This window comes from Homo sapiens, chromosome 2 (assembly GCF_000001405.40).
Source record: "Homo sapiens chromosome 2, GRCh38.p14 Primary Assembly".
NCBI classification, from domain to species: Eukaryota; Metazoa; Chordata; class Mammalia; order Primates; family Hominidae; genus Homo; species Homo sapiens.
Window position 1 is genome coordinate 230911457 of NC_000002.12, and position 27588 is coordinate 230939044.

At 48.1% G+C, this 27588-nt stretch overlaps 1 protein-coding gene across 4 annotated transcripts in view, besides 6 other annotated features; it reads right to left on the reverse strand.

The window, feature by feature from the left end:
* Positions 1-27588, reverse strand: part of GPR55 (G protein-coupled receptor 55) — a 53874-nt gene that overhangs the window by 4129 nt on the left and 22157 nt on the right. The window contains exon 1 of one of the 4 annotated variants that reach the window (XM_011512176.3): positions 16215-16288. The exons of 1 other annotated variant lie outside the window; for it this stretch is intronic. The gene's annotated coding sequence lies outside the window, so the exon portion shown is untranslated. Of the gene's footprint in view, positions 1-13637; positions 13787-16214; positions 16289-27588 lie in introns of those variants that run through there. 2 more of the 4 variants (NM_005683.4, XM_005246952.5) reach the window with 2 other exon arrangements.
* Positions 13131-13919: an enhancer, noted in NCBI's record as "H3K4me1 hESC enhancer chr2:231789302-231790090 (GRCh37/hg19 assembly coordinates)". NCBI's record gives its function as "activates a minimal SCP1, AML or CMV promoter by ChIP-STARR-seq in primed H9 embryonic stem cells {active_cell/tissue: H9 hESC(primed)}" and the evidence as "EXISTENCE:reporter gene assay evidence [ECO:0000049][PMID:30033119]".
* Positions 13483-13602: an enhancer, noted in NCBI's record as "active region_17257". NCBI's record gives its function as "activates an Ori minimal core promoter by ATAC-STARR-seq in GM12878 lymphoblastoid cells {active_cell/tissue: GM12878}" and the evidence as "EXISTENCE:reporter gene assay evidence [ECO:0000049][PMID:35858748]".
* Positions 13723-13772: an enhancer, noted in NCBI's record as "active region_17258". NCBI's record gives its function as "activates an Ori minimal core promoter by ATAC-STARR-seq in GM12878 lymphoblastoid cells {active_cell/tissue: GM12878}" and the evidence as "EXISTENCE:reporter gene assay evidence [ECO:0000049][PMID:35858748]".
* Positions 14593-14822: an enhancer, noted in NCBI's record as "active region_17259". NCBI's record gives its function as "activates an Ori minimal core promoter by ATAC-STARR-seq in GM12878 lymphoblastoid cells {active_cell/tissue: GM12878}" and the evidence as "EXISTENCE:reporter gene assay evidence [ECO:0000049][PMID:35858748]".
* Positions 15043-15222: a silencer, noted in NCBI's record as "silent region_12420". NCBI's record gives its function as "represses an Ori minimal core promoter by ATAC-STARR-seq in GM12878 lymphoblastoid cells {active_cell/tissue: GM12878}" and the evidence as "EXISTENCE:reporter gene assay evidence [ECO:0000049][PMID:35858748]".
* Positions 17951-18080: a silencer, noted in NCBI's record as "silent region_12421". NCBI's record gives its function as "represses an Ori minimal core promoter by ATAC-STARR-seq in GM12878 lymphoblastoid cells {active_cell/tissue: GM12878}" and the evidence as "EXISTENCE:reporter gene assay evidence [ECO:0000049][PMID:35858748]".

Genomic DNA, 27588 nt, shown 5'->3' on the forward strand with positions numbered 1-27588 from the left:
CTTTCCTGATGGTTGGACACAGTCAACCTGCAACCAGGGATGATTGACACCAGAGCGTTGCATTCCCCTGGACACAGTAGCTGGTTAGTTCATTGGTTCAGGGACAGATATTTGACTCTCCAAGAAGCCATGATAATCAACACAACTTTTGCTTGGGTTTCCAGGCAGAGGGTTGGAGTCCCTTGTCAGGGATTCATAGTTGCCAAGATATAAGGTCTGCAGCTGCTGCAGCCTCTTGTACCCCAAAGAGAAAACCAGACAGAAAATGGAGAGATATGGGAGAAATGGCATTCCCAGAAGGAATGGAGCGGGGCCCTGAGGTCTCCACAGGGCAAGGAAAGGCCTTTTGTCGGGCAGAAAATTAGAAGTGGCCTCAGGGACGGGAGGACCAAGGCTGCAGGTGTGGTTGCACAGGGGTGTGGTCCGAGCCTGGTCAATTTGGGGTGAGGGGGTGAGTGCCATTGTGGGGTTCTGCATCAAGGTATGTAGCCCTGGAGCAGGAAAAAACCAAGTGTTCAATCCAGGCATCCAGAACCAGGTTGCTAGAAGGACTCAAATACGACCCAACTTCCACCCTCTCCCCACTTGCCCGCCTCTGCCCACCTCCCTGCTCCCTCCTTTCTCACCCACTCTTCCCTCTCCCCACATGTGAGGCCATGCTGCTGGTGTACTTGACTTGGACTGGCCTTAGACATGGAATGTGCCACATTCACTAGAGCACAGGGGCATGGCATGGAAAGGACATTTATGCCTGGCATCTTCCTTAACCACTTCGGCAGAAAGCAGCTGGGTGAGCAAGTGCGGCCAGGTCCTGCCGTGAGACCCACCTTCCTGTGCCTCTCCCACCTCCCATGACTTCCTGGCTAGCAGGTGCTGAGATCCCAAGATATCGATGTATCAGGGAGGAGACATCAGCATGGACTCCCACCAGAGAATCCCATACTAGTGACCACTGCAGCTATTTATTTTTATTTTTATTTTTATTGTTTTTGAGATGGAGTCTCACTCTGTCACCCAGGCTGGAGTGCAGTGGCACAATCTTGGCTCACTGCAACCTCTGCCTCCCCAGTTCAAGCGATTCTCCTGCCTCAGTCTCCTTCATAGCTGGGATTACAGGCATGCACCACCACGCTCACCACCCCTGGCTAATTTTTTGTATTTTTAGTAGAGATCAGTTTTCACCATGTTGACCAGGCTGGTCTTGAACTCCTGACCTCAGGTGATCCACCCACCTCGGCCTCCCAAAGTGCTGGGATTACAGGCGGGAGGCCCCGCACCTGTTCCTAAAACTTCTGTTATTAATTAAAGCTTCTGTTATTATTTTTCATAGCTTTTTATTAATTTTAAAAGTATTCCAGGCGCTCAATAAGATATTCGAAGAGAACAAAAGAACAAGCGTAGGAAAGTCAGCCTCCTTGTACCCTAAGGCCTCAACTGTCCTTTTCAAAGGCAGCATGGCTTACAGCTTCTTGCATATTCCTCCCAGACATTTTCTAAGTAGATACATATATGCAAATATATGCATGCATACATATACATGTATGACTTCTTTAAAATTTGGAAATAATATACCTAGAGCCCCTGTCCCTTGCTTTTTCGCTCATCAATGTTTCTTGGACATTGGTCTATATCAGCATATATGAATGGCTTGTTTGCCTCCCATTGTGTAGGTATACCAAAACTCATTTAGCCAGTAGCTTATTCATAAACATTTAGGTTTCCAGTATTTTACCAGGAAACAATGAATTCCACAATAAGCATTCCTATGACTTATTTCTTTGCTGTGCAGCTATTGCTAACAGAATTCTCATTCTGCTATTGTTTCTCATCACTATTGGGCGCCCGTGGGAGGAAAAAATTGGGGTGTGTTTTAAGATCTTATATGTAATACCATTCCCAAGCCCTCTCTGATCTCTAATGAAAAAGAAAATCGATATATATAGATAGATGTTTATAGGTTCATATATATATCATCCATTGAGCACTACGCACTAAACATTTAACATACATTACTTGATTTGGTGGCTTTCCAAAGATTCTATGGTTTCCAATGTGTTAACTTTTCTCACAGATTTATGTAATGAGAGATCTAGGAAAAAATACTTCCTCTTATTCAAAGCCTTGGTGTCCTGTGGTCTGTGGGGATGGTGCCTCCTAGGGGTGTGTAGGAGTAACTGGTCCTACTCAGGATGCTCAGAATCTGCAAGGTGGGGTGGCCGCCTCCTCACTAAACATGCTGAAATGGCCACAGGCCTAGCTCAAAAAATTACTGGAATAGCTTGGAACTCACAAGGCAAATTTCAAAAATGATGAGAAAAGCAGGTCAAAGCCCAGTTCAAGTCTAAATGTAAAATGTTGCAACACCAAAGAGGAAGATGGAATTGGCTTGGAGAAGTTGTCTTCAAGACCAGAAACAGCAGAAAACCAAGAACCACAAAGATAAGAATGAATACAAGTTTATGTTTAAAGAGATCCAATAAGATTTTGAAAAGGGAACTGAGGACATCTGTCTTTGTCTGGGTCACACTAACCAATTAAGAAAAAGGAGCCACCAATGACAAAAGCTCAACACTCAGAGGCCCTTACTGTCAGCTGTTACCGGCCAACTGCATGGATGAATCCACCGTATTGCTGGTGGTTCAAAGTGGCCAAGAAAACAATCGGTGATGCTCAAAGTCCAACCCAAACCCAGACACAGTGTGTGGCTGAATTGGGGGAACAAACGAATAACAACGGGAGGAAAGTGATCTGACAGAAAGCACACAACCTCAGGTGCTGGGATGAGTCTCCATTGACAGTAGCAGGTATATTCATAGACACAATTTGGCCATCAGTATTCCCCGGTAGGATTATTCTAAAGGTCACATTTGAATTACCGACAGACTTCAAATGGAAGCTTCTCAGAGGGTAGTCTTTGAAGCCAGAGAAGGCACTCTATGGGCTGGCAAGAAGAAATTAGGTTGAAAAAATACTGCCGGCTAATGGCAGAGTGAACAGAGAATCTGAAAAATTAATTTGAATTCCCTCTGAAAGTCCAAGGAAACCATCTTTTTAGAGTCTTTTTCAAAAAAATCAGAAGCCTCACTGTAGTAAGATAAAAAAAAGGCATCAATGCACTCCAAACGGCAGCAAGAGATGAAACAGTCATCCTTCTCAAAGAAGTTTGCTAATAAAAACCAGTCTACTTGTGGGTGGGGGAGGGGAACGGGGCGGGGGGCAGCAACTAGCACCATTTGCTACTTGTGGGGTGTGGGGCCATTCCATTAGCAGCTCCTGTTCTGGCCAACCCAGGGGTCCACCCCAATCAAGCAATGGTACTGTAGTTGGCTGGGTGGGAGGTTGAGTCCCCTCAGGTCCCCTGAGAAGCAGATGCTAAGACAATGCTAGACAACTCAGAGATTAAACAGGGGAAGTTCCCATGAAGGATAGTTGGGAGAGAGAGCAGGAGGAGGTGGGGTGAGCCTTCAGACCACCTGCAGGTCTGACTCTGTGGAAGGAGAGAGGGAAGGAACAACAAGGTGGGAAGGACTTCAGACAGCAGTGCAGATTTCAGCCCTTCTTGGCCAAGCCATGGGGCATCTCTGAGCAAAGGTTGCCTGTTGGAGGAGCCCCACATCCGCAGAAATCGCCCCAGGCTAGTGCCTCTGCCCAGTTCAGGCACTGGCTAGGAGTAGCCCAAAGAGAGTGGCATCAGCATCAACATCACCATGGACCTGAAGCAGCAGAGCTGCACTGACTGTGGTCAGGGACCCTGGGAGTGGGTTCTCTGGAATTCCGGGGAGGTCTCAGCAGCACCCCTGCATAGCTGCCAAGGAGCCATCCCAGTGCTGCCATTGATGTTGGGATCTGTGTCACAGGCAGCAGTGGAGATGTTCTCAGTTTCCACCCCAGCAGCACCATCTGTGGAGTGCTGCCTTTCTACCATCCGCAGCAGGGATGGGTGGGTGCCTTCGCCTCCTAGGGGACTGGAATGGGGCAGTCCCAGCCTCCTCCAGAAGGAAGTAGCATTGAGTGGGCAAAGGTCATGGGTCAAGCAAATAGCATCTGTGAATGGAGTGAAAGGACCCCAAACCATTGTGAGTCAACAGCAGCACGGTGGCTGAGAGGTGGGGCTGAATTGAACCGTGGAGTAAATGAGACAATACAGGAGATGAAGCGCCATGTTTCATGCAAAAGCTATGGAGAGAGCCACTCCCAGAGGCCCTGCTGACACCTCTGAATGTCCCGCTGACATGTTTAAATGTCACCAAGATACAGCCTCACAAACATCCATGAATAAACAAACCAAGTTCCTTGGAAACCTCTGAAAAAATAATTAACACCAGAAGAGGTTTGAGGGAGAAGATCTGGGTGCAAGAATTTCGTATCCAACCAGGCGTTCTTCTGGTTGGAAGAACCAGACTTGCAGAAAGCAAGTCTCAGGTGGATGTGGCCTGTAGAAAAACAACCGCCCCAAAACTTTAGACCTCCAAGAGATCATCACTAAGAAGAGTGCAAGGATGAAAACATCAAGGTAGAAAAGCTTGGAACTGAGCATTGAATTGAAAGCAGGAAACTATGGAAAGAGACTTAAGTTATGATGAATATAGTTACACATTTAAAATCAAAAGAAAAAAAAAAACAGAAGAGATTATCTGGCTGGACTAGTGGCTCACACCTGTAATCCCAGCACTTTGGGAGGCCAAGGTTGAAGGAGCACTCGAGCCCAGGAGTTTGAGACCAGCCTGGGCAACATAGTGAAACTTCATCTCTCCAAAAAAGAAAAAAAAATTTTTTTTAGATTAGTAGAGTGTGGTGGCTCGTGCCTGTAGTCCCCAACTATTTGGCAGGCTGTGTGGGAGGATCACTTGAGCCCAGGAGTTTGAGACCCGCCTAGGCAACATAGTGAAACCCCATCTCTACCAAAAAAAAAACTTAATTAGTAGGGCATGGTGGCTCGTGCCTGTGGTCCCCAACTATTTGGGCGGCTATGTGGGAGGATCGCTTGAGCCCAGGAGTTTGAGGCTGCAGTGAGCCATGATCGTGCCACTGCACTCCAGCCTGTGTAACAGAGTGAGACCCTCTCTCTAAGAAAAAAAAAAAAGAGATAATCTGTGTCCCTAGAAAGAGACAAGTTTTAATATTGCGGATAAATTAATAAAGCAGGAAGAATGTTCTTGTGTTGTAGGGGGTGGGGACAATGGAGGGTAATAGTAAGTGCCTGGGGTGAAGCAAAAGGCTCTATTGCTAATATTTCTATTCTGTTTTTTTTTTACTTCAATAATTACAGAAATATGTGTCAGATTCTTGAAAACCTTAAAAGCAACCACTATTAAAAATATGATGTCTACCTTCAAAATTACTACAGAAGATGAAAAGAAACAAAACCAACTACATAGCAAAGGAGTGAATATAATAGGAAAAGAAACAGCATAGAAATTACAACAATAAGTGTGAAAAAATTCAACTTTTATTAATATTCTCAATTCAAAAATAAAATATAACTGTTTGCTCTTATGAAGGGTGCACTTAAATGACACAGAAATGTTCCACATAAAAGTTCTGTGGCGATAGAACAGACAAATATAAACAAAAGAAAGACAGGGAGGCAATATTCATAACTAGCCTTGTAGAATTGCAGAACAAAATTGCTCATCAGGATTAAGAAGCTTATTTTTATAGAATAAAATAAAAACTCAATTGCGAGGGCAAATGTAGTAATCTTATACACCGAATGGTGGAAAAGTACATCAGGTACAATTCTTAGAATTCAAGGAGCCATTGGCAAAAACAAACTGCAGTGTCAGACTTTCATGTACTGTAGATTAGAACAAAACAAATAGGCAAAATATAAATTAGGACATAGAATTATATAAATAATATGATTAATACAGTTTAATTAATAGCCCTTGGGCTTGGTTTTAAACAAATAGGTAACCCATTTTTTTTCTCAAGCAGCCAAAAAACACTTGCCAAAAATGAATTATCTACCTTACAAGAACAAAACCATCCATTAAAAAAATTCAGAAATTATTTTGGCTATACTCTCTGACCTCATACACAAAGACCTAGAAAATAAAAATACAGCCTGGCCGGGTGCAGTGGCTTATGCCTGTAATCCCAGCACTTTGGGAGGCAAAGGAGGGAGGATCGTTTGAGCCCAGGAGTTTGAGATCAACCTCACAACATAGTGAAACTTCTGTCTCTACAATTTTTTTTTTTTAATTAGCTGGATGTGGTGGCTTGTGCCTATAGTTCCAGCTACTCAGAGGCAGAGGTTAAGGCAAGAGGATGGCTTGAGTCCAGGAGGTCGAGGCTGCAGTGACCTGTGATCATGCTACTACCCTTTAGCCTGGGCAACAAAGTAAGACCCTGTTTATATAAATTCTGTCTCAAAATAATAACAAAAATAATAATGACTATTTAAAAATAAAGTGAGAACTACAAAACTAAATACATGTGAAGAATAGCAAGAACTTTTTGGATTGGTTGTTTTAAAAAAAAAAAAATTCACAGGATACAGCCAAAACTATTCTCAGAGATAAACACATTGCCCTAACTGCTTTAATTTTCTTTAAGGACATTAAATAAATGAATTAAGCACTTAACTTGAGCATTTAGGGAAAAAATGTCTTAGGGAAATCAGGAAAAAAGTATAAAGATAAAAGTGGAAATAAAGGAATTAGAAAAGAGAAAATATCAGAATCAACACATTTAATAGGTGGTTCCTTCAGAACAGAAGCAATAAACGAAGCAATACCTATATCTCTAACAACTATGATCAAGAAGAAAGGGCTCAAATGGTCATAACTAGAAATAAGAAAGAAGACATTAAGCTGAGTTAGAGAGGAGAGCAAAAATAGCAAGAAACTGCATTGTTACGTGTGTGTTGATCTGTTGAAAAACCTTGATGTAGTTGTTGATTTGGGGGCAAAAAATAATTTACCACAATCTATACAAGGTTTGACACAAGAAGAAATAGAATTATTGACTAGACCAATAACCATAAAAGAAACAGAATATTATCAAAGAATTACTCTTAAAATAGGCTCTAGCTTATTTCAAATTTTCAAGCAACAGATAATCCCCGTGCCCTATAAAGTATTTCAGAACATAGTATTAATGAATTTCTATTAAACTAACTTATCCAAATAGCGAAACTCAGCACAAAAGAGACAGACTTGCTCAAATACAATTATGAATATATATGCAAACATCCTAATTAAAATATTACCAGGTGGAATTCAGTACATTAACATTATAAATCATCATGATGAATCAGATTCACTATAGAAATGTAAGATAGTTTCAGTGTTAGGAAATCAATTAATGTTTTGTATCACATCATTAGAGCAAAAATAAAAAGTCATCCAATTGTATAAATAGTTTTTTGAGTTATTTAACTAATGGAACAGGAAAGTACTTCTTACAAAGAGTAAATTGCTCACACCAATGACAACTTTGTATTTAATGGTAAAATAGTAGGGACATTCTTGTTGAAATCAGACATTTACTAACCCAAAAATCTCAGACTATGCACTAACACATTTAACAGAAGCAAGAATAAATGAGGCATTCCACAAAAATCAATAATACAAAGGGAAGGCTTAGTTAAGAAATTATGTTAAGAATTATGTTAAGACTGTCAGTTAACAATTTGGGAGTAAAAACCAACTTAGAGTCTCATCTTACACGGTATCTCAAAAGAAATTCCAAATTCATCAAGGAATTACATTTCAAAACAATCAAATCATAGAAAAACTAGATGAAAATTTAATAAACAACTTATAAAATCACTAAAGGGAAAAGCTCTTTGTCAACTTAGCATAACTGAAAATCAAAGAAACAGAAAATAAACAGGACAGGTTTGACTGCACAAAAAAAATTCTTTTTGCTAAAAAGTCTTAACATCAAATAATGTACTCGAAGAAACAAAACACAATCAATGTTAGACAAATGACGTTCTTTCTCTGAGAAGAGAATATTAAAATGAATAACATCAAGAACAACAATAGAAGAACAAGCCAATGACATAGGCAGTTCCCAGAAGAGGATTTACAAAGAGATAACATTTTTGCTTATCAAATTTAACAAAGAATTTGGCAAGGGTTCTGTGAAACCAGTCACCAATATGCTAGTAAGTGTACAAATTAGCACACCACTTTTGGGATTTGATAATTTCTATTACAAGCCATGAAAATTGTATGTCTTTAATCCAGTGATTCTGAGAATTCACCTTAAGTAAATTATATGAAAGAAGAAAAATTGTGTACAAAAATATGTCCACCTTGGCATTTTTTCTTCTTATTCTTCTTTGCCTCACTGTATTACCACATTACTTTTTTTCTAATAGTAAAAAATACATACACACATGTAAATGCCAACAAGAGGTTAAGTTCACTACGGTAAATTTACTCAATGGAAAATTTTTCTGTCTGACTGTTATGTTTATGCTGACTATGTTGAGTAAAAACCCCACAAACTATAGAATTAGACATTCAGAATGATTTCAACTGTGATTAAAATTACAAAAACCCACGCATAGAGGGGAAAAAAAAAAAACCTAAAAAAAGATTTCTACATCCCAACCAGTGGTTGCATTCTAGCAGTTGGAAGGTGGGTGATTTTTAAAATCTTTTATCTTTATCTCTGTCTTTTGTGTGTGTGTGTGTGTGTGTGCTTTTCTAATTAGTTAATGATAATATGAAAACCTGAGATTAAAAAAATATATATATATAATGCTTGGTGGGGAAAAAGGAGACCAGTAAGGATAGCTTTCAATTTTTTCCTTCTGTATCAGAGAAACAACTTGTGGTCTGGGTTTGTGTTTGAGGCATGGCAGGGCGCAAGGTTTACACAAAATTAAAAGTTATGCATTGAATTCACCAAAGCTCAGCTGATGAGGCATGACCTTTCAGGGTCAGAGATGAGCATTTCAAGATGGGGCTGGGAACGAAGCATGAAGTGAGAGAGAGATGTGGGAGTGTCAAGTGAGACAGCAATCCCACCCAAATGATGGGAGAACAGCAACAAGAACCTGATTCATGATTTTTTTAAAAAAAAATTGAAAAATAAACAAGTTTCCTCTGTTCACAGGTCAGCCATCACATTATAAAAATGTGTATTACATAAGCAGTAAAAGACGACATAAAAGAGACAAAATGCCAGCTTCATAGTGAAGAGTAGGTGAAGGTAAGAAAAGAGATTTAAAATATAATTCCCCCAAAGCTTGGCAAGCTATCAATAGCATCAAGAAGTTAAGAACTTAAATATTTTCCAAATTGAATATTTAGGTTAAATCACCTTGTCTATCTTAACGGGACAAAAGGAAGAGAAGATTCACAGTAGAAACTGAAAATGAAAAAACTATAATATCACAATATAGAAAACAGAGGGGCAACCTCACAGAGGTTTATGCAAATTTATAAACAATTGTTAATACTCCCTATATTAATCTATTAAAACCAACCATCAATTTAAAAAAAACAAAATTCAATCATCTTTTGTCAAGGAAAAACACTAAGAAAATGAAAAGACACAGAGTAAAATGATAGCATAATCTTTGGTTTATCAGGCACATTTTGTGCTAGAAAGGAAGGGAATAGGACAAAGTAATTTTTTTTTTAGTAAAAAGAATTGAGAAAGTAACATGGAGACTCCACAAGAGTGAAAGTTACAATAAATAATGAAAACTTAAAACACTCAATTTCTGTTCCAATTAGCACAGCAAACAAGTACATAATGGGACCATGCAGGAAATGCAAAAGAAATTTTAAAAAATGGAAATATAATGTAGCTGGAGCCCTTAGTGCCCCTCCTGTGGAATACCCATGATCAAAATAGACAGAAATTAGAGCTCTGAACAACCCAACTAATAAGGTAGACTAGCAGATCAGGGAGAAGTACATCATAAATCAAGGGTCTATGCTCTCTTTAGAAGAATAGAAGTGTCTTTCACAAAATTTACCCCATTCCCGAGCACAGGCAATGGCAATTTTACACTCCTCATTCTCGGACCACAAAGAAAATAGCTGTTTGTTGGTCCTGACCACTTAGCTGCAGTGCCATATTAAAAATACAGGCATTTCTATGCATTCTTTTACACAGGCTCTTCACGTGTGAGTCAGAGACAAAATCAGACGTACATTGCTGAAATATTGTAAAGAAACAATATTTATACACAAAACACAAACGCAGTCACCACTTTAAGGAAAGTGGGAATTCCTAAGTGTTCTTTTAAACATGAAAGGGAGAAACGAGGTGAGCCAAGGCTACACTCAAAGATCCTGGAAGTGGAATGGGAGTGACCATGGCCAATGCACAGCTCTGATCACCCTAGGACCCGAGGCTGTCTGTCTGCAGGGGCTGAACTCGGAGGGGCTAGGGAACCACAGCATGGGAGAAGATGCAGAAAGGCCTAGAGATGCTCCTAATCCCTAGAGGGAAAGGCACAAGGTCATCCATCCTCCAGTGATCGTGACGTGTTCCACCATAAGACTTCACAGGGTCAGAAAAGGAATGGGTTCCAGGTGCTGCAGAAAGCAAACCTATCTCGCAGCCAGAGTGTCTGAGAGTAGACAAAGCAAAGCAGCCTCGTCATGTGGAGGGCTCTCTGTCACCAGAGGTATGCAAGCAAAGGCAGGGCTATGTGCTTATCCAGGGTGCTGTAGAGGGAATTCATGCACACAGCCGTGTCTTACTGAAGGGTGTTTTTGTTTGTTGATTTTTAACCCTGAAGTAGAATCTCCTTTCAATATAAGGCTGTTTTCCAATGTTTGGTGAAAAGGAGAGAAAGTATGTGACGTGTGGAAAGGGACTGGGGTGGAGCACAGAGGCCTTGCTTCTCCTCCTGGCTCCCTCTGCTTGGGGGTTTCCGTCTCATTTCTTCCATCCTCAAGGCCCTGCTCAGCCCCGAGCCCGGAGCCCTGGCCTCAATGTGCTGATTTGTTTGTTTGTTTAAGTTAGCATCTTGCTTTGTCACCCAGGCTGGAGTGCAGTGGCACAATTGAGGTTCACTGCAACCTCAACTTCCCAGGCTCAAGCAATCCTCCCACCTCAGCCCTCCGAGTAGCTGGGACTACAGGCATGCATCACCATACCCAATTAATTTTTTATTTTTTGATTTTAAAATTTATTTTTATTTATTTATTTATTTTTGAGATGGAGTTTCACTCTTGTTGCCCAGGCTGGGGTGCAATGGTGTGATCTCGGCTCACTGCAACCTCTGCCTCCCAGGTTCAAGCAATTCTCCTGCCTCAGGCTCCTGAGTAGATGGGATTACAGGCATGTGCCACCACGCCCGGCTAATTTTGTATTTTTCGTAGATACAGCGTTTCTCTATGTTGGTCAGGCTGGTCTCGAACTCCCGACCTCAGGTGATCCACCTGCCTCCCAAAGTGCTGGGATTACGGGTGTGAGCCATCGCTCCTGGCCTAATTTTTTATTTTTTGTAGAGACAAGGTCTTACTGTGTTGCCCAGGCTGGCCTCAAATTTCTGGGATCGAGCAATCCTCTTGCCTCTGCCTCCCAAACTGCTGGGATTACAGGCGTGAGCCCGAGCACCCGGCCTGTGCTGGTTCTTAATTGCTGACTCTACACATTCTGCAGCTGGGATTCCCGCAACTGCCAGTGGTCCATGGTACCCTCATCCGCCCACACCCTCAAGGATCCAGTGTCCCACTTGCGGCAGCCCTGTGGCTTTGCCTGCACAGCTGAGACCTCGAAACCCAGCTATGTGGCTCCACACCAGACCTACCTTTCTTCCCTCTGTGGCCTGGACTTTCCAGAGAACACAAGCAACAAGAAGATCACAACCCTAAGGAGGGTTGCAACTGAGAAGGTGGCCCTTCCTGCAGCTGCCAGGCTGTTATCTGCACAGAGCATTGCAGCGTGAGCCACCTCAGAGATGGCAGGGCCAGAGCCTAAAAAAGCAGCATTGGCACAGCCGCAGGGATGGATTTGAGGAGCCCTGGAATACTCCCCCAAAAATGCCGCAGTTAGAATACACAGCGTATCCACCAGTAACACCATAGTGTGAATAAAGTCATCCGCCTGTGCCTGAGCTGGGCTTCTGGGGGCCACGATAGAAGAAGGAACAGGACACAGAGGGGACAGAGCACATGACCACAATCTCCCCAATGCCTGAATGTTGCTGGAGCTTGGGCTGGGGGGTTGGAGTGGGGCTGGGAGAGGGGAGGGGCCGGCTTGGGGACGTGAAAGGTGGCCAGCAGTGTGCTCAGTGATCTACGATGGGAACTCAGGACACTCCTAGGAGATTGCCCTAATTATGCCCATTTTACAGATAAGGACAGTAAGGCTTAGAGATGTTAAAGATTCTACCCAAGGTCAAAAAGGCCGTGAGGGACCAGCTGGAACTCATGTTCTGAGTCTCTCCTCCTCGCTCACCCTGGCCCCCATCAGCATCACAAGCAAGAGCATCTGGGATCCAGGAGTTGCCAAGCCCCCTCCTCACTTCTTTGCATGCTCATGCTCCTCTTTCTCCTTGGACTCTCTCCTCCACTGCTAAAAATCCCACCTCTTCCTTGAAATGCCCACTTCCCAGGTTCACCCACATCATCTGATGTGGTTTTCCCAGTGCAGTCCTGAGTGGGTGCCTTGAAAAGTCCTCTGTGTATCCCAGGGGGAGCGTGTCCCTGCTGTCCTCCAGCAACCCCAGGACCAGGACCATGTCCCTTTCACCTTTATCACCGAGCCTCACATACAGTTTGTCGTTGGGAAGGTCTTATTGCATGAAAGAGGGGGTGAAGAAATGACGGAACAAATGGCCAGGTCTGCTGCAGCTCCACAGTGACTGGTGCTCCCTTTACAGCTGGGACAGCCGCTCAGAACCAAAGGCAAACCTTGCCTTCCACAGAGCTGTGGGCGGCACTTTGCCCTGCCCTGTCCTCTCATCCCCACTGCCTCGGGCAGCACAAAGCCCAGGTGAAGCCAGGCCAGCCAGACATGTCCTGACTTTGTGTTCTCACTCTCAGGGAAGAATCTAGAATGTTCAGGGTTCTAAGTGCTGCTGTGTCTTCCCGCCCAGCCTCTCCAAGAGACACTTGGCTAGGGTTAGAGAACAATGCAGCTATAATGTAGGATAGCAACCAGGGCTTTCCTCTCCATCATTTACTGCCCTTGAGCGCCCCGTGAGGAAGAAACCGTGTATTGCCTCATGCCCCAGAGAGGTAAACGGAGGCTAGAGAAATTACGCAGCTGGTGAGTGGGTGAGCCTGGGCTCCCAGGCTCCTTCTGGTCCCCAGTAAGCACTTGCTCAGGGCTGCAGGATGATCCCTGAGAGTGTGTCATCTCGGGCGCTTGGTGGTTTCCCAACAAGATTCTGGGGAATGGGCGGCGGGCTTGGTGGAGGGCGGTGGCACGTGAGCTACATGCCCCGGGAAGGCTCCCAGGCTGCCTATGGGGAGGTTTCCCGACCCGACATGATGCTGCAACCCTGAGTCAGATCAGGAGGAAGTTGAGGGTTCGTAGAAAAATGTCACTCGTAATCGGGGACAAACCAGGTCTGCCTGCCGCTGCTGCTGTCACGGAGGCTGCCTGGAGGCTGCCGCTGCCCTGACACCTGGGACTGCTCGCTGAGTTGGGACAGGTGTGCACAAAGCCCAGGCCCACACAAGCCCCACTGATCTTAGGAGAGTTACCTGCAGTCCACAAGAGCAAGGTCAGGTTGGAGGCTCCGTGCCTTAGTTTCTCTAAATGGCCCAGAGGCTGTTACCTGTTGGTGGTCCGGTGCAGCTGAGAGGGCTGAGAGATGTCATTTCTCCTCCAGGCCTGGCTGTCAGCCTGTTCTGGGGAGAGTCACTTCCCCTCTCTGGGTCTCGACTTCCTTGTGAGTGAAATAAAGGGGTGGGACCAGATGCTCTTTGAGCCGCTCCAGTGTCACCCTGTCTGGCTTAGGGGCTCTTGCTCTGGGGTCTACAGAGAGGCTGTGTGGAACTAGAGTGTGGACATGGGGAGCAGTTTCCAGGAGGAGGGTCTACACTCTCCCGCCCTCTTGGAAGATCTGCACGCCCCCCTCCCGCAGCTCCAAAAAACAAAACAAAAAACCAAAAAGCCAAAAATCACACTGCATGTGTCAAGCCCTGGGAAGCCTCTGGAGGAGGAAGCCTCCTACGCACCCCAGACACCCTAACAGGGGCACCACACAGGGGCAGCCATTCTCAGCACCTGCCAAGGGCCGTCGTGGCTTCCAGCACTTTGGGGGTTTAGGATTTGAAACTGCTGCCCACAGAAAGGAAAGGAAGGTGGTGCTATTTAGTACTTGCAGGTTAGGACTTGCGTGCCTAGCGTCGGAGGAGACCTCAGCCACTGCATGTGTGTCTGCAAGAATGGTCAGTGGGGCCCCACAGGTTCCCCAGCCTCGGCTTCTCTGTCCCAGGCCTGCACAGAGATTTGGGGCAGCCTTGGGCCTGTGGCTTCCTAGGGCCCTGCAAGCAGAGATTTCCCTGGCATCTCCCACCTTCAGGGCTGGGAGGGCTGAGACTCACCCGTGGGCCTGGGTGGCTCTTAGCTGGGAGCCCTCATAGATTCCAGCCCATCAGGAAAGTCTGGGCTGAAACTACCCCGGCAGATGCAGCTCTCATGCCCTGGAGGTGCTGGGAGGCCCTGTCGGAGGACCAAACACAAGCAATTTTTAAAAGCTATGCGTGCTGGGACTTTCAGGTGTCTACAGGAATAGAAACTACTCCTGGGTTTTTTGGATGATTCATCCAACACATGGGTCCCCTCTGTAAATAACACCTTGCAAGTCACTGCAGGGGAACCACCTGGCCCTCTGGAGCTGGGTCTTCCCACTGTCTGGTGAAGAGGTTGATGGAACCATGACAACTTTTAAGCTCTCACCTGGGCTTGTGCGATGGGCAGTGCCAAGTCCACTGCCTGCTCCAGGCCGTGGAGCCCCAAGCTGGCCTGGGTGCCAAGACAGGGCACAGGGCAGTCCTGCCCCCAGCGAGGCCCCCCTACTGGGCCACCAGCCCAATCTAAGCCAAAGGCTGGCTACTGGGCAAGGGGGGGCAGCCAGGCCCGCACCCTGGGTGCGGGAGGAGGCCAGGAGCCTGCTGGGACAGTAGCAGGGAGGAAACACACCGGTGTCTGGCACCCACCTCCATACCCAGAGCCTGCAATGTGAGGCCCCAGGAAGGCATCCACACTGAGTGGCCTGCAGGGAGCAGTGTCTCTGCTCAGCCCCTTCTCAAAGGGAGCCTTGTCTACTCCCATTCTGGCTACCTTCTTTTTTTTTTTTTTTTTTTTTTTTTGATACAGAGTCTCGCTCTGTTGCCCAGGCTGCAGTGCAGTGGCACTATCTTGGCTCACTGCAACCTCCACTTCCCGGGTTCAAGTGATTCTCCTGCCTCAGCCTCCTGAGTAGCTGGGATTACAGGCTTGTGCCACCAGGCCCGACTAACTTTTTTCGTATTTTTAGTAGAGACAAGGTTTCACCATGTTGGTCAGGCTGGTCTTGAACTCCCGACCTCGTGATTCACCCACCTCGGCCTCCCAAAGTGTTAGGATTACAGATGTGAGCCACCGCTCCCGGCCCTGGCTACCTTCTTTTAAGAAATGAATATTTCTACTTTATTGCTGTTGCAATATTAAAATTTTTAAATTTTTAAATTTTTGAAAACATGCACATGATTCAAATACATATGTAAACACATATAGGAAAATATCTGTCCCACTCCTAAATCCAGCTCTCACCTACCCCCCAGGGCACCACTGTTAAGTTTCTTCCAGAGTTTCTGTGCCCGCCCGTGTACACCTGAGCTCTTATTTTCTCCCTCTTTTGACACAGAAGCTAGAGACCACACGAGCTGCTCTGCAGTAGAAGGCATTGTCCACCTCCCTCTCCTGTGGGTATCCCTTGGATACCTTGGGGGATATCCAAGGTATATGGGGGATCCCTTGCCAAGATACGTCTCCAGAGAGACTCAAAGGTTTGAGCTCCTAAGAGCAAGGCTAGGCAGGGACTCGCCCAAGGCCCCGTCCTAAGGCTCAGGCCTGTCCCTCGAGCTTTTCGCCTCCCCTTGCCACAGGCCTGGGGAGTCATAAATAGGAAGACCTTTCTCAGAAAATTTCCCTTAAGCCTCCTGAAACTTCTCCCCCTAGTCCTGCCCACCCTCTCACCATCCAGAATCACTTGGAGGTTTTGGGAGCCTGGGCAGGTCCCTGCCTGTCTTCCAGGCTGGGAGCCCCGAGTTGGGGGGTTTGGGGGCACACACCTTCGACTTCACCAGTGGAGCAGCTTCGGAGCTTCAGGAACCAGCTTCTTCTAGGGCAAGGAACAAGTGAATCTGACTGTGTTTATCAAAGAGCGGGTCCAGGATAGCTGGGCGCTCACCACATCCTCCCCTGACGCTGGTGAAATTCGCTCCTTCAGCAGCCAGAGGCCTGGCCCTGCCCTCGTGGGGCATCCTTTCCCTCCAAGGGGGGAAACCTGCCCACCAGGGGGTTTGCAGGGTGACCACTTGGCCCAGAGCTGTGCAAGAAGTGCTCCCAAGCCTGCCCCAGAGAGCTGGTCAGGGAACAGGGGCAGGGGCAAGAGCTGAACCCTAAGAGACACGGGGAGGGAGGAGGATGCTGGAGGAGGGCAGCCCAGGTGCAGGCACAGGCAGGAGGGGCACGGGGTTGGTGAGGGCCCGGGCACCCTCTGCACCAGGGTAAGGGGGGAATGGCAGGAGCCGAGGCTGGAAGCTGGCCAGGCAGGAACCAGGGGCACGGGCCGCCCCGGGGTCCCAGGGAACACACGCTTGGCACAGGGGCAGCATGTGACAGACCCACTGGGGCAGCAGGGGTTGGGTTGGGATGAGGGCACCAGCAGCAACAAGAAGGAATGAGGGCAGGAGTGGGGGCGTCAGAGTGTCTGAAAGAAGGATCCAGGGCATCTGAGGCAGCCGGACTCTGAAGATAGCCTCAGCAGGTCTCTGGCCGCCACTCCCCACAAAGCAGCTCTGTCAGCTTGGGCTGGTTGCCTAACCTCTCTGAGCCCATTTCCCCAGCCGCAAATTGGAGTTACACATCCATTCAATCAAAAAATGTTTGTGGATCATCTCCTAGGGACCAGGCAGTGGTGGTGAAGACAGATGACAGTACCTGTCTCAGAAAACGTTGTTTTAGGAGTCGGCATGGTAACAGGGGTAAGTGTACCCAGGAAGTGCCTGGTACTCAAGCAGTGACTGAGGCCCCCATTCCTCGTTGATTTATGCCTGCCTTTGTCTCCCCTGCTGGGTCTATTTGAAGGAAAAGAAAAAAAAAGGAGGAACATTGATAATGAGACCCTCATGATCCAAGGAAAAGGGGTCCTAAAAATCAGAGGAAGCCCCAACAGAGAGAGGAAGGCAGGGGAACTCAGGAAGAAGAGGCAAAGAGAGGAAGATGAGCAGCACCTGCCCCCACCCTCTGCTCCAACCCTCCAGGTGCGGCCTGGAGACAGACTCAAAGGGTTGAGCTCCAAGAGCTGGGCTAGGCAGGGACTTGCCCCAGGCCCCATCCTATGGCTCCCCATCTGGCCTCTCCCCTCCCATTCTGCCGGGAACACTTCTGTTCCCAAGCCCCACTTCTTTATTTTATTTTATTTTTTGTAAAAATAGAGATGGGGTTTTGCCATGTTGCCCAGGCTGGTCTCGGACTCCTGGACTCAAGCGATCCCCCACCTCGGCCTCCCAAAGTGCTGGGATTACTGGTGTGAACCACTGCATCCGGCCACCAAGCCCCACTTAAACATTGAGCCCGGATGACTCCCCTGCACGGTCAGCTGGGTGCTATACCACACGAAGCCCGTTCCTGGAGCCTTTGCCAAGTCCCTGAGGACTGACACCCTGCCCCCTAGGTGCTCACAAAGACAGGAAGGTGCGTGCCCCCAAGCCCCCCAACTCGGGGCCCTGATAATCCCCCTTAGCAATTGAAGATGTCTCCTTGAAAGTGGGCCCATGGTGGCTGAGGTCAGTGATGCTTAATGTCAAGGCAGAAGGGAGTAAAACACGCAAGGGGGCAGCAACTGTCCAGAATGCAGCCTTCCCCTCCCATGTCACCCCACGTGCCCCTCTGTCACTCACTGGAAATGTAACATCAAGGTTACAGGAGAAGGTTGCAGATGCTCAGATATCTGTGCCTTCTGTTCTTGTCATGATCCAGCCAATTCTTTTAGAGCCACCAAGCTTCTCCCTGCAGTCATCCTGCCCATGGCTGTTGATGGCCCTGATGGGGCTTGGAGCCCCCAGAATGTGCAGAAGTTGGACAAAGGTGGTCTTCAAATGCAATGGTTGTCTTATCACCGAAAGCCCACGGCATCCAGAGGAGGCCCTTTACTACGAAGTTTACAGAGAGCACAGGTCTCTGTACGTCCCAAGTTTCCCCTGCTGCCAAATGCAGGGGAGGAGAGAATTCTGGAAGCCCACCCTGTCCCATGGCTCCCCTGGCACATGGAGCCACTGAATGTCTTGTGAACATTAAACAAATGCTTCCAAGTGAACACCTCTGGCTCTGTCTCATCCAGGTCCTCCTGAGGCCCTCCTGAGGTTTGGCGCTCAAGGGAGCAGAGTCCTGGGCTAAACCCTGGCAACAGCTTCCCAGCATTCCCTCCACTCCCGCCGGGCAGCCAGGACCCCCCCGCCTCCCACCTGGGCCTTGGGGCCAGGAGTCAAGGAATGAGGGGATTCTGCTCACCTCTGAGTACCCCCTCTGGCCTCCCAGCAGCTCCCTGTCCAGGCCACCAGGTCACAGCTACTGAGCTACACTTGTTTATTTCTCAGGGACACGGGGATAGGAGTGTGAGCAGATGGTGGACCCTTTTGAAATACTTATTTTCTTTTATGTTTCCTGTTGCATAAAGTGTACTATTTCCTTTGCCCACATGCCCATCAGGAGCCTAATATTCTGTTTTCCACTTTAGCTATTGAATTCCTATTCTTCTTACGTGTTGAGTCTTTTCTCCCTACTTCACCCCTTCCCACCTCCCCTACACACAGACATTTTTATCTTTGGGTTTTTTGTTTTGTTTTTCTTTTCTTTCTTTCTTTTTTTTTTTTTTAGACAGAGTCTCACTTAGGCTGGGGTGCAGTGGCATGATCTCAGCTCACTGCAACCTTCGTTTCCTGGGCTAAAGCGATCCTCCCACCTCAGCCTCTCAACTTCCCAGGACTGCAGACACGTGCCACCACGCCTGGCTAATTTTTGTACTTTTGGTACAAAATACAAAGGCATTGAGAGGTTTTGCCATGTTTCCCAGGCTGGTCTCCAAGTCCTGAGCTCAAGCAATCCACCCACCTCAGCCTCCCAAAATGTTGGAATTACAGGCTTAAGCCACTGCGCCTGGCTCAGTTTTATCTTTGTTTTGCGGCATGGAAATTGTTAATTGTGTCGTTCGTCTCCATGAATTATCCTGTAGCACTTTAATAATGAACCTATCTTCACCCTTCTGTAGTTTGAGTAACTAGGACATTCATTTCCTTCCTGAAAGTCTTTTATTTAATTCTGATTTTTAAAAAGTATATATTGGGGTGGAAGGTAAAAAAATCTTCTCCAATACTGAGGGGCTGACAGGTGAAGGCTATGGGGAGGTCCCCACCTGCCCTACCTACCCGCCACTCCCCCGGGAACTGTGCCAGCACTCACACCCTATTCTCCTGCAAAACGCTTTGTCCTGAGAGCCTTACCCCACATGCAGAGCTACCACCTCTGCTCTTTAATGCCATCAAATATCTTCCAGGGCACACCACACTCCAGTACCTGGCTCAGTCTTCATCTCCACCCCAAGTCCTCCCGACTCTTCAAGGAGACGTCATTGCCAATGGTGACAGCTCCCTCCAACACTGACCCTGCCTGTCCTGAGGACCACGCCGAGGGCAGTACACTTTACAAATTAAGTCTGTTCATTCTCCAAACACCCTGGGAGGTGCAAACGATCAACAGCCTTGTTGACAGAGGAAGAAATTGAAGCACAGAGGGCTGGAGCCCTGTGCCCAAATGTGCACCACGAGCTTGATGCAGAGCTGGGATTGGGCCTAGGAGATGGCACCTAGAGAGGCCGATTTCTACCTGTCCCACCTTGCTGAACCCTCACCAACCCCATGAGGCAGGACCCACAGGCACTCCCACTTTACAGGGTGGAAATGGAGGCATTGAGAGGTTTTGGCAACTCGCCTGATAAGCCCACTTGTTAAGACGCTGAGCAGGAACACAGTGCACCTGCTGCTGCCACAGGCCCCGACCGCTGCACCCACGAGGGCCCCACTTCACAGTCTGGCCTCACGGTGCGACCTCCTGCTGCTCTCACCCCTGCCCATTAGCCCCATCCCCATGAGAGCATGCGGGGCCCCTCTGCTCCCCTTCCTTCCACACCCTGAGTGGTGCCCCACTCCACTGCCCGGGCCACCCCTGGCCCAGTCCATTCGCCTGCTTGCCCACTCCACCCCAGCCCCTTTAGCCCATGGACAATGCTCCTGGAGCCAAAGGGAACCATCCAAATGGCAGTCTCAGGGCACCAGCACCCCTCACCCCTTCCCTGGTGGTAGGGCAGCCCCACCCCAGCCCGGTCCCGTCGAGGCCACTCCACACCTCAAGGCCTCACCTCCAGCTCCTCACCATCCCCAGACAGCCTGGCCTCCAACTTCACAGAAAAAAATCTCGGTTCTGAGGCGTGAAGCTCCAGCTCCTTGTCCTACAAACCAGCCGCGGTCTGCACCCAACCAAGTGACAAAGGTACTCTGCTGCTTAGAGAAACACCTCCACGCCACCAGCCCGCCGACCTTCTCTGGGCGCCTGCCCGTCAGGTGGTTGCAGCTGTTTGTGGGAGGCATCCAGAGGGCAGGAAACATGTTAGAGGAATTCACAAGATTAAAAACTCATTCCCTACATAATTGGTGCTGAAGGCAGAAAATTACCACCGGCTGGATGGATATTGTTTCTATCATCTAAGGTGACTAGAAGTCTTAATTTGTGCATTATATCATTTTGAAATTACAGAGATTTCTGTAAAGGTACATTGCATTCTGTTACATAATGCACATAACGTTACATGAAGGGGAAGCTACTATGGAAGGAAAGTCTTCAGTGTTCATTAAAATAGTTGGATCTACACCTCTTCTAAATGAAGACAGCATGGCTGTGAATGTTTATATGATAAAGGTACATAAAGCTCCGAACAGAAGGACATGTTCATTACAAGGACAGTCTCCACGTGGGGCTCGAAACTGGCCAGGTCCTGCCTCTTCCAGCTGCCCAGCTGTGCCTGCATGAGCCCCAATCTCTTGCTTCGTGTCTGGCCGTCATCCTAAACCAGGCCTCTCTCCCACTCTTGCACCACCTCCTCGCTTCCTGTGACAAGGCACACCCTGTTCTAGCCCAGGCTCGGCCTGGGACTGCCTCCATCAGGGCCTCAGTCTGCACATCCCTGTAGCTGTGCTACAGGCAGGACTGCTGCTCTCTCTCTCTCTCTCTTGCATGCGCTCGCTCTCTCTAATTCTCTACATGTGAGGTCACAAGGACAAATCCTAAGGGAACAGAAGCCGGACTGAACTCTGACTTCAGAGCCCCAGGATCGTGCTCTCACGCTGATCTTTGGCAACGATGAAGGGAAAATGGGTCTGCTTTCACCCGGCTGCTTCCAGCCCACTCCTTTCCCTGCCCCTTCCTGCCTCTTCCCCCTTCCCTGCTACCCTCCATCACTGCCTTCTGGTCCTGTGCCCTGTCGCCTCCTGTGGGCCTAGCCAAGCCCCTGAAGTCCCCTGCCCCGCCCAGCTCCCCCCTTCCCTCCGCCCTCTCTGCCTGGCCTGCCTCTCTGCTCTTCACTCTTCCTGTGCTCTTGACTTCCCTTCTGGCCTTTCTCTGGCCTCCAGCCACCTGGGCAGACTGCTCCACTGCCCCATCTCCCTCCCATCCGTCCACCGCATCCTCCACCTGCCCTCCGTTGGCCCTTCCTGCAAACCGTCTCCTGGGACCCTGATGTCCCTGCTAGGGGAAGTCAGGAACCTACTGAACACACGGGGCAGCCCATGGTGTGCAGCTGCTGGGCAGCCTGGCAGGCCCTCCAGGAAGCCCCCATCTCCAAGGGAGCTCTCAGCCACCTGGGGACTGGCCTGTGGCAGTGGGTGGCTGTCCCTCCTCAGGTTGGTCCACAGGCCAAAGAAACTAGAGCAACCTCCTTTCATGTCCACCCTCAGTCCCCTTAGGCTTTCAGAGCGGCCATAGAGGTGGTGGCTGGACTCAGGGGACTCAGGGCCTCTCTCCTTACAGGGCTTGCCTCTTATCCAGGAGCAGCAGCCCCTGCGCCGGCAGCATTCCCCACTCCTGGAAGTCAGCGTCTCCAGGAGGCAGGGCGGGGGCTCCCTTGGCAGGGCAAAGGCTGCCTGGGTGGGGGCAGTGACAGCAGCGGGATGAAGCTCTGCTGTGGGGGTGGGAGATGCAGGATGCAGGGGATGTGTCCGCTAGGAGAGGCATTACCAGGTCTTCCCCAAGAGCTCAGCCTCTGAAGTTCTTGACTTCAGTTTCTGAGGCCACATCTGCAGTCACCCCAAAGCTTCCGGTGACCACCCCAGAGGTGCTGGGTCAGGCTGTGGTCACTTCCTGCCTCCCTCTCCTCGCCTCTATTGTCACCTGGGCTCAGGGTGCTTTCCTTGCCCACCTTTTCAACCCTCCTTTCCAGTGCTAATAGACTGGACTGTCCCCCAGGGGCACTGGCCTAGGTATATGGGCCGCTTATTTGGAGAGACCCCTCCCTGCACTGGCTGTTTCTCCACCTGCCCCTACAACACAAAAGGCTGACAGAATATGGTGATTTCTAACCCAGCCCTGGCCCTGGAATCACAAAACCTAGGTCTGCATCAGGGCCAGCACCTCTCTGCACCTCTCTCACCAAAAGCTGTGGAACGAGCACCGAGTACTGATTCCAGGTTTCTGGTCCCCGGCCTCTCTCCGACCCCAGCACAGCTGCTCTTTCTGCCCCTCAGGGATGGGGGTTAGTTCCCAGGACCAAATGTGAGATGACCACCTCTGTGAACAGCACAAGTATCCACTGAAAGCCCCAACCCTGAGCTCTTGGTCCCAGGGGAAGGAGGACACAGGTCAGAAGAACCAGGGACAGCCAGCCTGACCCAGCCCAAGTGCTTAGCAAAATGCTTAGAGCCCGGCCGCCTCCCTCCCCGGGGCCCACTCCATGCTGACTCCTGGTAACCTCTGGGCAGGAGTCAGCCTCCCCTGGGGAAGATTAGCATCCGGACGCCTCGGGGTGGCCCTGTTTGCTATCTGGGGTGGGGTGAGGATGACCATCTGTTCTGGTTTGCCCAGAATGGATGGGACTCCTGGGGGGACTCTGGACCTTCAGTGTTAAACCCAGATAGTCCCTAAGAGTGAAGAGCCGTCACTGCAGGTCGGCAAGGGAGCTTTGGGGATTAAGCCCTCTCTTCAGTCGGGGTTTCCCACCCTGACTCCACCCACCAAGGAAGGGCATTGTCCTGTTGGGTTGGGCTTCCCCCACCCCCACCCAGGACCCCTACATTCTGCTGACTGCGCCCAGGGTGCCCAGAGCCTCTCTGGCTGCCAGGACACACATGGGTTACCTCCTTCCTACCACCTGGACAAGTGACACACAGGCCCCTTCATGCCAGAGACACACGGGTCTCAGAGGAAACGCCTGGGGTGGGGGGCACTTTTCCTCTCCCTCAGAGATGGTGGCAGGACCCGCAGCCTCAGCACCATCGTGACCACATTTCCAAGAGAAGGCTCCTGGCGCTGTGGTCAGACAAAGCGGCGGTGTTTTAGTTCAGGCTGCCTGGAACACATCAGAAAAGGGGCCTCAGGTTACACAGAGGCAGGCACGTCTTAGGAACTAGAGTGTGTGGTCCCAGCCCGGCAGCCACTCCCAGCCCCAGCGCAGCCTCCTGTCTGGATGAGGGGCCCAGGAAGCGAAGGCTGACGGGCTCCATGGACCTGTTTATTACCAGGAAGTCTTTCCTTCTGAAGCTCCTAGGGGGCCTTGAGTGAGTGACTTGCTTTGGCTGTAAAAGGGGTTTTGCCCAGTTGATTGAGTCCTAGGGTCTCACACAATTGTGCTGTGTGTTGTGGTCTTCCCTCAGGCTTTCACAGGCTCACAGCCAGAACTGTGCGCACCCATCCAGATGTCAACACACACACACAACACACCCAGAGATTCACATGTGCATGCCCTAGATGGATCATGGGGCAATTCTAAAGGAAATGCAGCCCTGGGCTCTGGGACTGGGCTGGGAGGAGAGGGGTTCCATTTTGGACCGGAGGGTACGGAATACCGACACAGGGGAATGGAGATACAGGTTCAGTATCCTTTGTCAGAAACGCTTGGAAAAAGAAGTGTTTTGGATTTTGGATTTTTTTAGAGTTGGGAATATTTGCATTATACTGGCTGAGCATCCTAAAACCAAAATCTGAAGTGCTCCAATGAGCATTTTCCTTGAGTGCATGTTGGCGCACAAAAAGTTTTAGATCTGGAGTATTTTAGATTTTGGACTTTTGGACTTTGGATGCCCAGCTTGTATATACTGAGGAGTCATCAGTATCAGCATGAGGGAGGAAGCTTGTGAGTTTGTAGGAAATAACATGCAGTGTGAGAAAATAAAGAGTGAACTGTGGGGAAGAGAATATTAAAGAGGTTGGCAGAGAGACTGGAATGCACAAAGGTGGAAAGGAGTTAGTCAGGGGTAGGAGAATTGCAAAAGCCAAAGGGAGATTCCAGACAAAGGCTGGCCAGTATGTGAAGGAGCCTTGAAGGTAAGCCAGTGGCCAGTACTGAATTTTGGCAGAGGAAACCAAGAACACTGGTATGGTTTGGCTGTGTCCCCACCCAAATCTCATCTTGAATTGTAGTTCTCATAATCCTCACATGTCGTAGGATCGTAGGAGGAACCTGGTAGGAGGTAATTGAATCATGGGGGCGGTTACCCTCATCCTGTTCTCATGATAGTGAGTGAGTTCTCATGAGATCTGATGGTTTTATAAGGGGCTTTCCTCGCTTTGCTTGGCACTTCTCTTATGACGCCATGTGAAGAAGGACATGTTTGCTTCCCCTTCCACCTGACTATAAGTTTCCTGAGGTCTCCCCAGCCATGCTGAACTGTGAGTCAATTAAACCTGTTTTCTTTATAAATTACCCAGTCTTGGGTATGTGTTTATTAGCAGCATGAGAATGGACTGATACGAACATCCTGTTGGACAGCAGCAATGTCCATAGAGGTTCTGCCTGCAGGAGTGGCTCAAAGGGGACCAAGGAGAGCATCCAATATGTGGATTTAGGCTCATGAAAGGTAGTTGTCTATAAAACCCTTGAGGCCAGGATTATCCCCAGAGATAAGTCTGATGACAGTTGTCTTAACACAAAAATGAATTATTAGAATTTCCCTTGAGGTATTACTCAAGTTGTCAAAAGCTGACTAAGTTGTTTGGCTGGAGGCTAAGGGGAAAGTAATTTATATTTATGATTCTTCTTTTTATGCTTGTATACAAAGGAATAGAAGTCAGGACTCTTGATCTAACCTGAGCCAGATTTCCTATGTCAAATCCTGTTTCCCTAGTTTTCCTCTTACCTCCCTAGTCTCCTAAGTTTATTAATAAACTTTAAAACACAATAGGCTTCCTTGAATAAAATGATTCTGATTTTCAGTTGGGCTGTACGACTGGAAACATTAAGTAAAAATGTATTCTAGGCCAGGCACAGTGGCTCACACCTGTAATCCCAACGTTTTGGGAGGCTGAGGTGGGAGGATTGCTTGAGGCCAGGAGTTTGAGACCTACCTGGTCAACAACATAGTAAGACCCCGTCTCTACAAAATTTTTTTTAATTAGCCAGGTGTGGTGGTGCACACTTGTGGTCCTAGCTACTTGGGAGGCTGAGATGGAAGGATCACTTGAGTCCAGGAGTTAGAGGCTCCCGTGAGTCGTGATTGTGCCAGTGTGCTCCAGTCTGGGCAAGAGAGTGAGGCATTGTCACTCTCAGAGATAAATTCTTTTTCAAAAAGCTTTAGGTCCCTGGGGAAAAAACACAGCAATAAGAACTAATTGCGTTAGGGATAAAAACCCTGCCCTACCCCACTTGGTGTGCTCTTGTGATCGTGACTGGTGCAAGTTGCACCCTTCTGCAGAAGTAAATTGCCTTGCCGAGAGAGCTTTTTGCTGGAGTGCTGATTCTTCTTTGTGGCACGGAGCATTTATTTCCAACAGTCACCAAAAAAAGTTATTAGATGATAAATTGTGATTATTTGTTTTGTAGATTTGGGGTAAAAATGTAAACCATAGAAAAAAGTCTTGCCCTGGCTCATTCAAAAAGACAAGTAGTAGAGACCTCATCTAGAAGAATGTTTATGCTAATTTCTGCAAACTACAAAACACAGATGCTGCCACAACCACCAAACAGAATAGAGAAAATTTACTCAGTAGAACAAGATATTTAAATCTAAAATTTGGGGCACAGTGGCTCATGCTTGTAATCCTCACATTTTGGGAGGCGGAGGCAGGAGGATTACTTGAGCTCAGGAGTTTGAGACCAGCCTAGGTAATATATTGAGATCCTCATCTCTACCAAAAAAAATAAATAAAATTAGCTGGGCATGGTGGTGTGCACCTGTGGTCCCAGCTACTTGGGCGGATCACTTAAGTACAGGAGATTGAGGCTGCAGTGAGCCGTGATCGCACCACTGTACTCCAGCCTGGGAGACAGAACAAGACCCTGTCTCAAAAAAAAAAAAAAAAAAAAAAAAAAAGCTTAGACTCATTCTCATACTAATAATTGGGGGTTTGTGTAAAACATCACATAAAAAGAAGCCGGCCAGGCAAGGGCCCCCTTAACTGCCATTTGAGGAAGTGAGGCCATCAGAGTGGGCTTTATATGGAATCAATTTCCTTTAAAAGATGATGTAATACCTTTCACTCCTTCTAAACTATGTAAGAAATACAATCAAAGTTCTCTTTCTGTAACCAGATGACCAAAAAAAAAAAAAAAACAAAGAAAGAAAATCATTGAGCCATTCCTACAGAACCTGGTCTTTTACCGTGTTTTTCTGTGAGATGGTTTTAACAAATATTTTATATTGCTTAGAAAAATATTGGTATTTCCTGATGTCTCTTCACTTGAAGGAAAGACTGGGGCAGTTTGACTGGGGCTGAGGATGCTGGGATCAGAGAATAAATGAAGATCCCAGGTGCTCATTTGGCTTAACTTCACCAGCTCCGGAAAATCCGAGGCTGTCCTGGAGGCTGGAGCAGCGGGCAGGGCAAGGCTGGAGGAGGCTCAAGGAGCCAGGGCCTCTTGTCCAGCCACTGGCAGAGGCACTGGGGCAGCCATGTGGGCTCCGTGGCATCTCGGGACCTTGCCTGATATGAAGGATGTCATTTAGGGCAGGAGACAAAAAGCCTCTAAACCTCATTATTTGTTCATGAGAGCCTCGAGTCTAGCTGCATCTCTTCTGGGTCTCGGTAAACAACTCCAGGAGGGCCTGGCCTTTTAAAGAGCTCATTAAATATCGCCCCCAAGTAGCACTTCAAGAAGAAAGTCAGCTGCAGCATGGCTCCCACCTCGCCGCCTGGGGCATGGAAGCATCTAGCACAGAGGGCTCCTGCCGTGTGGCCAGTTCT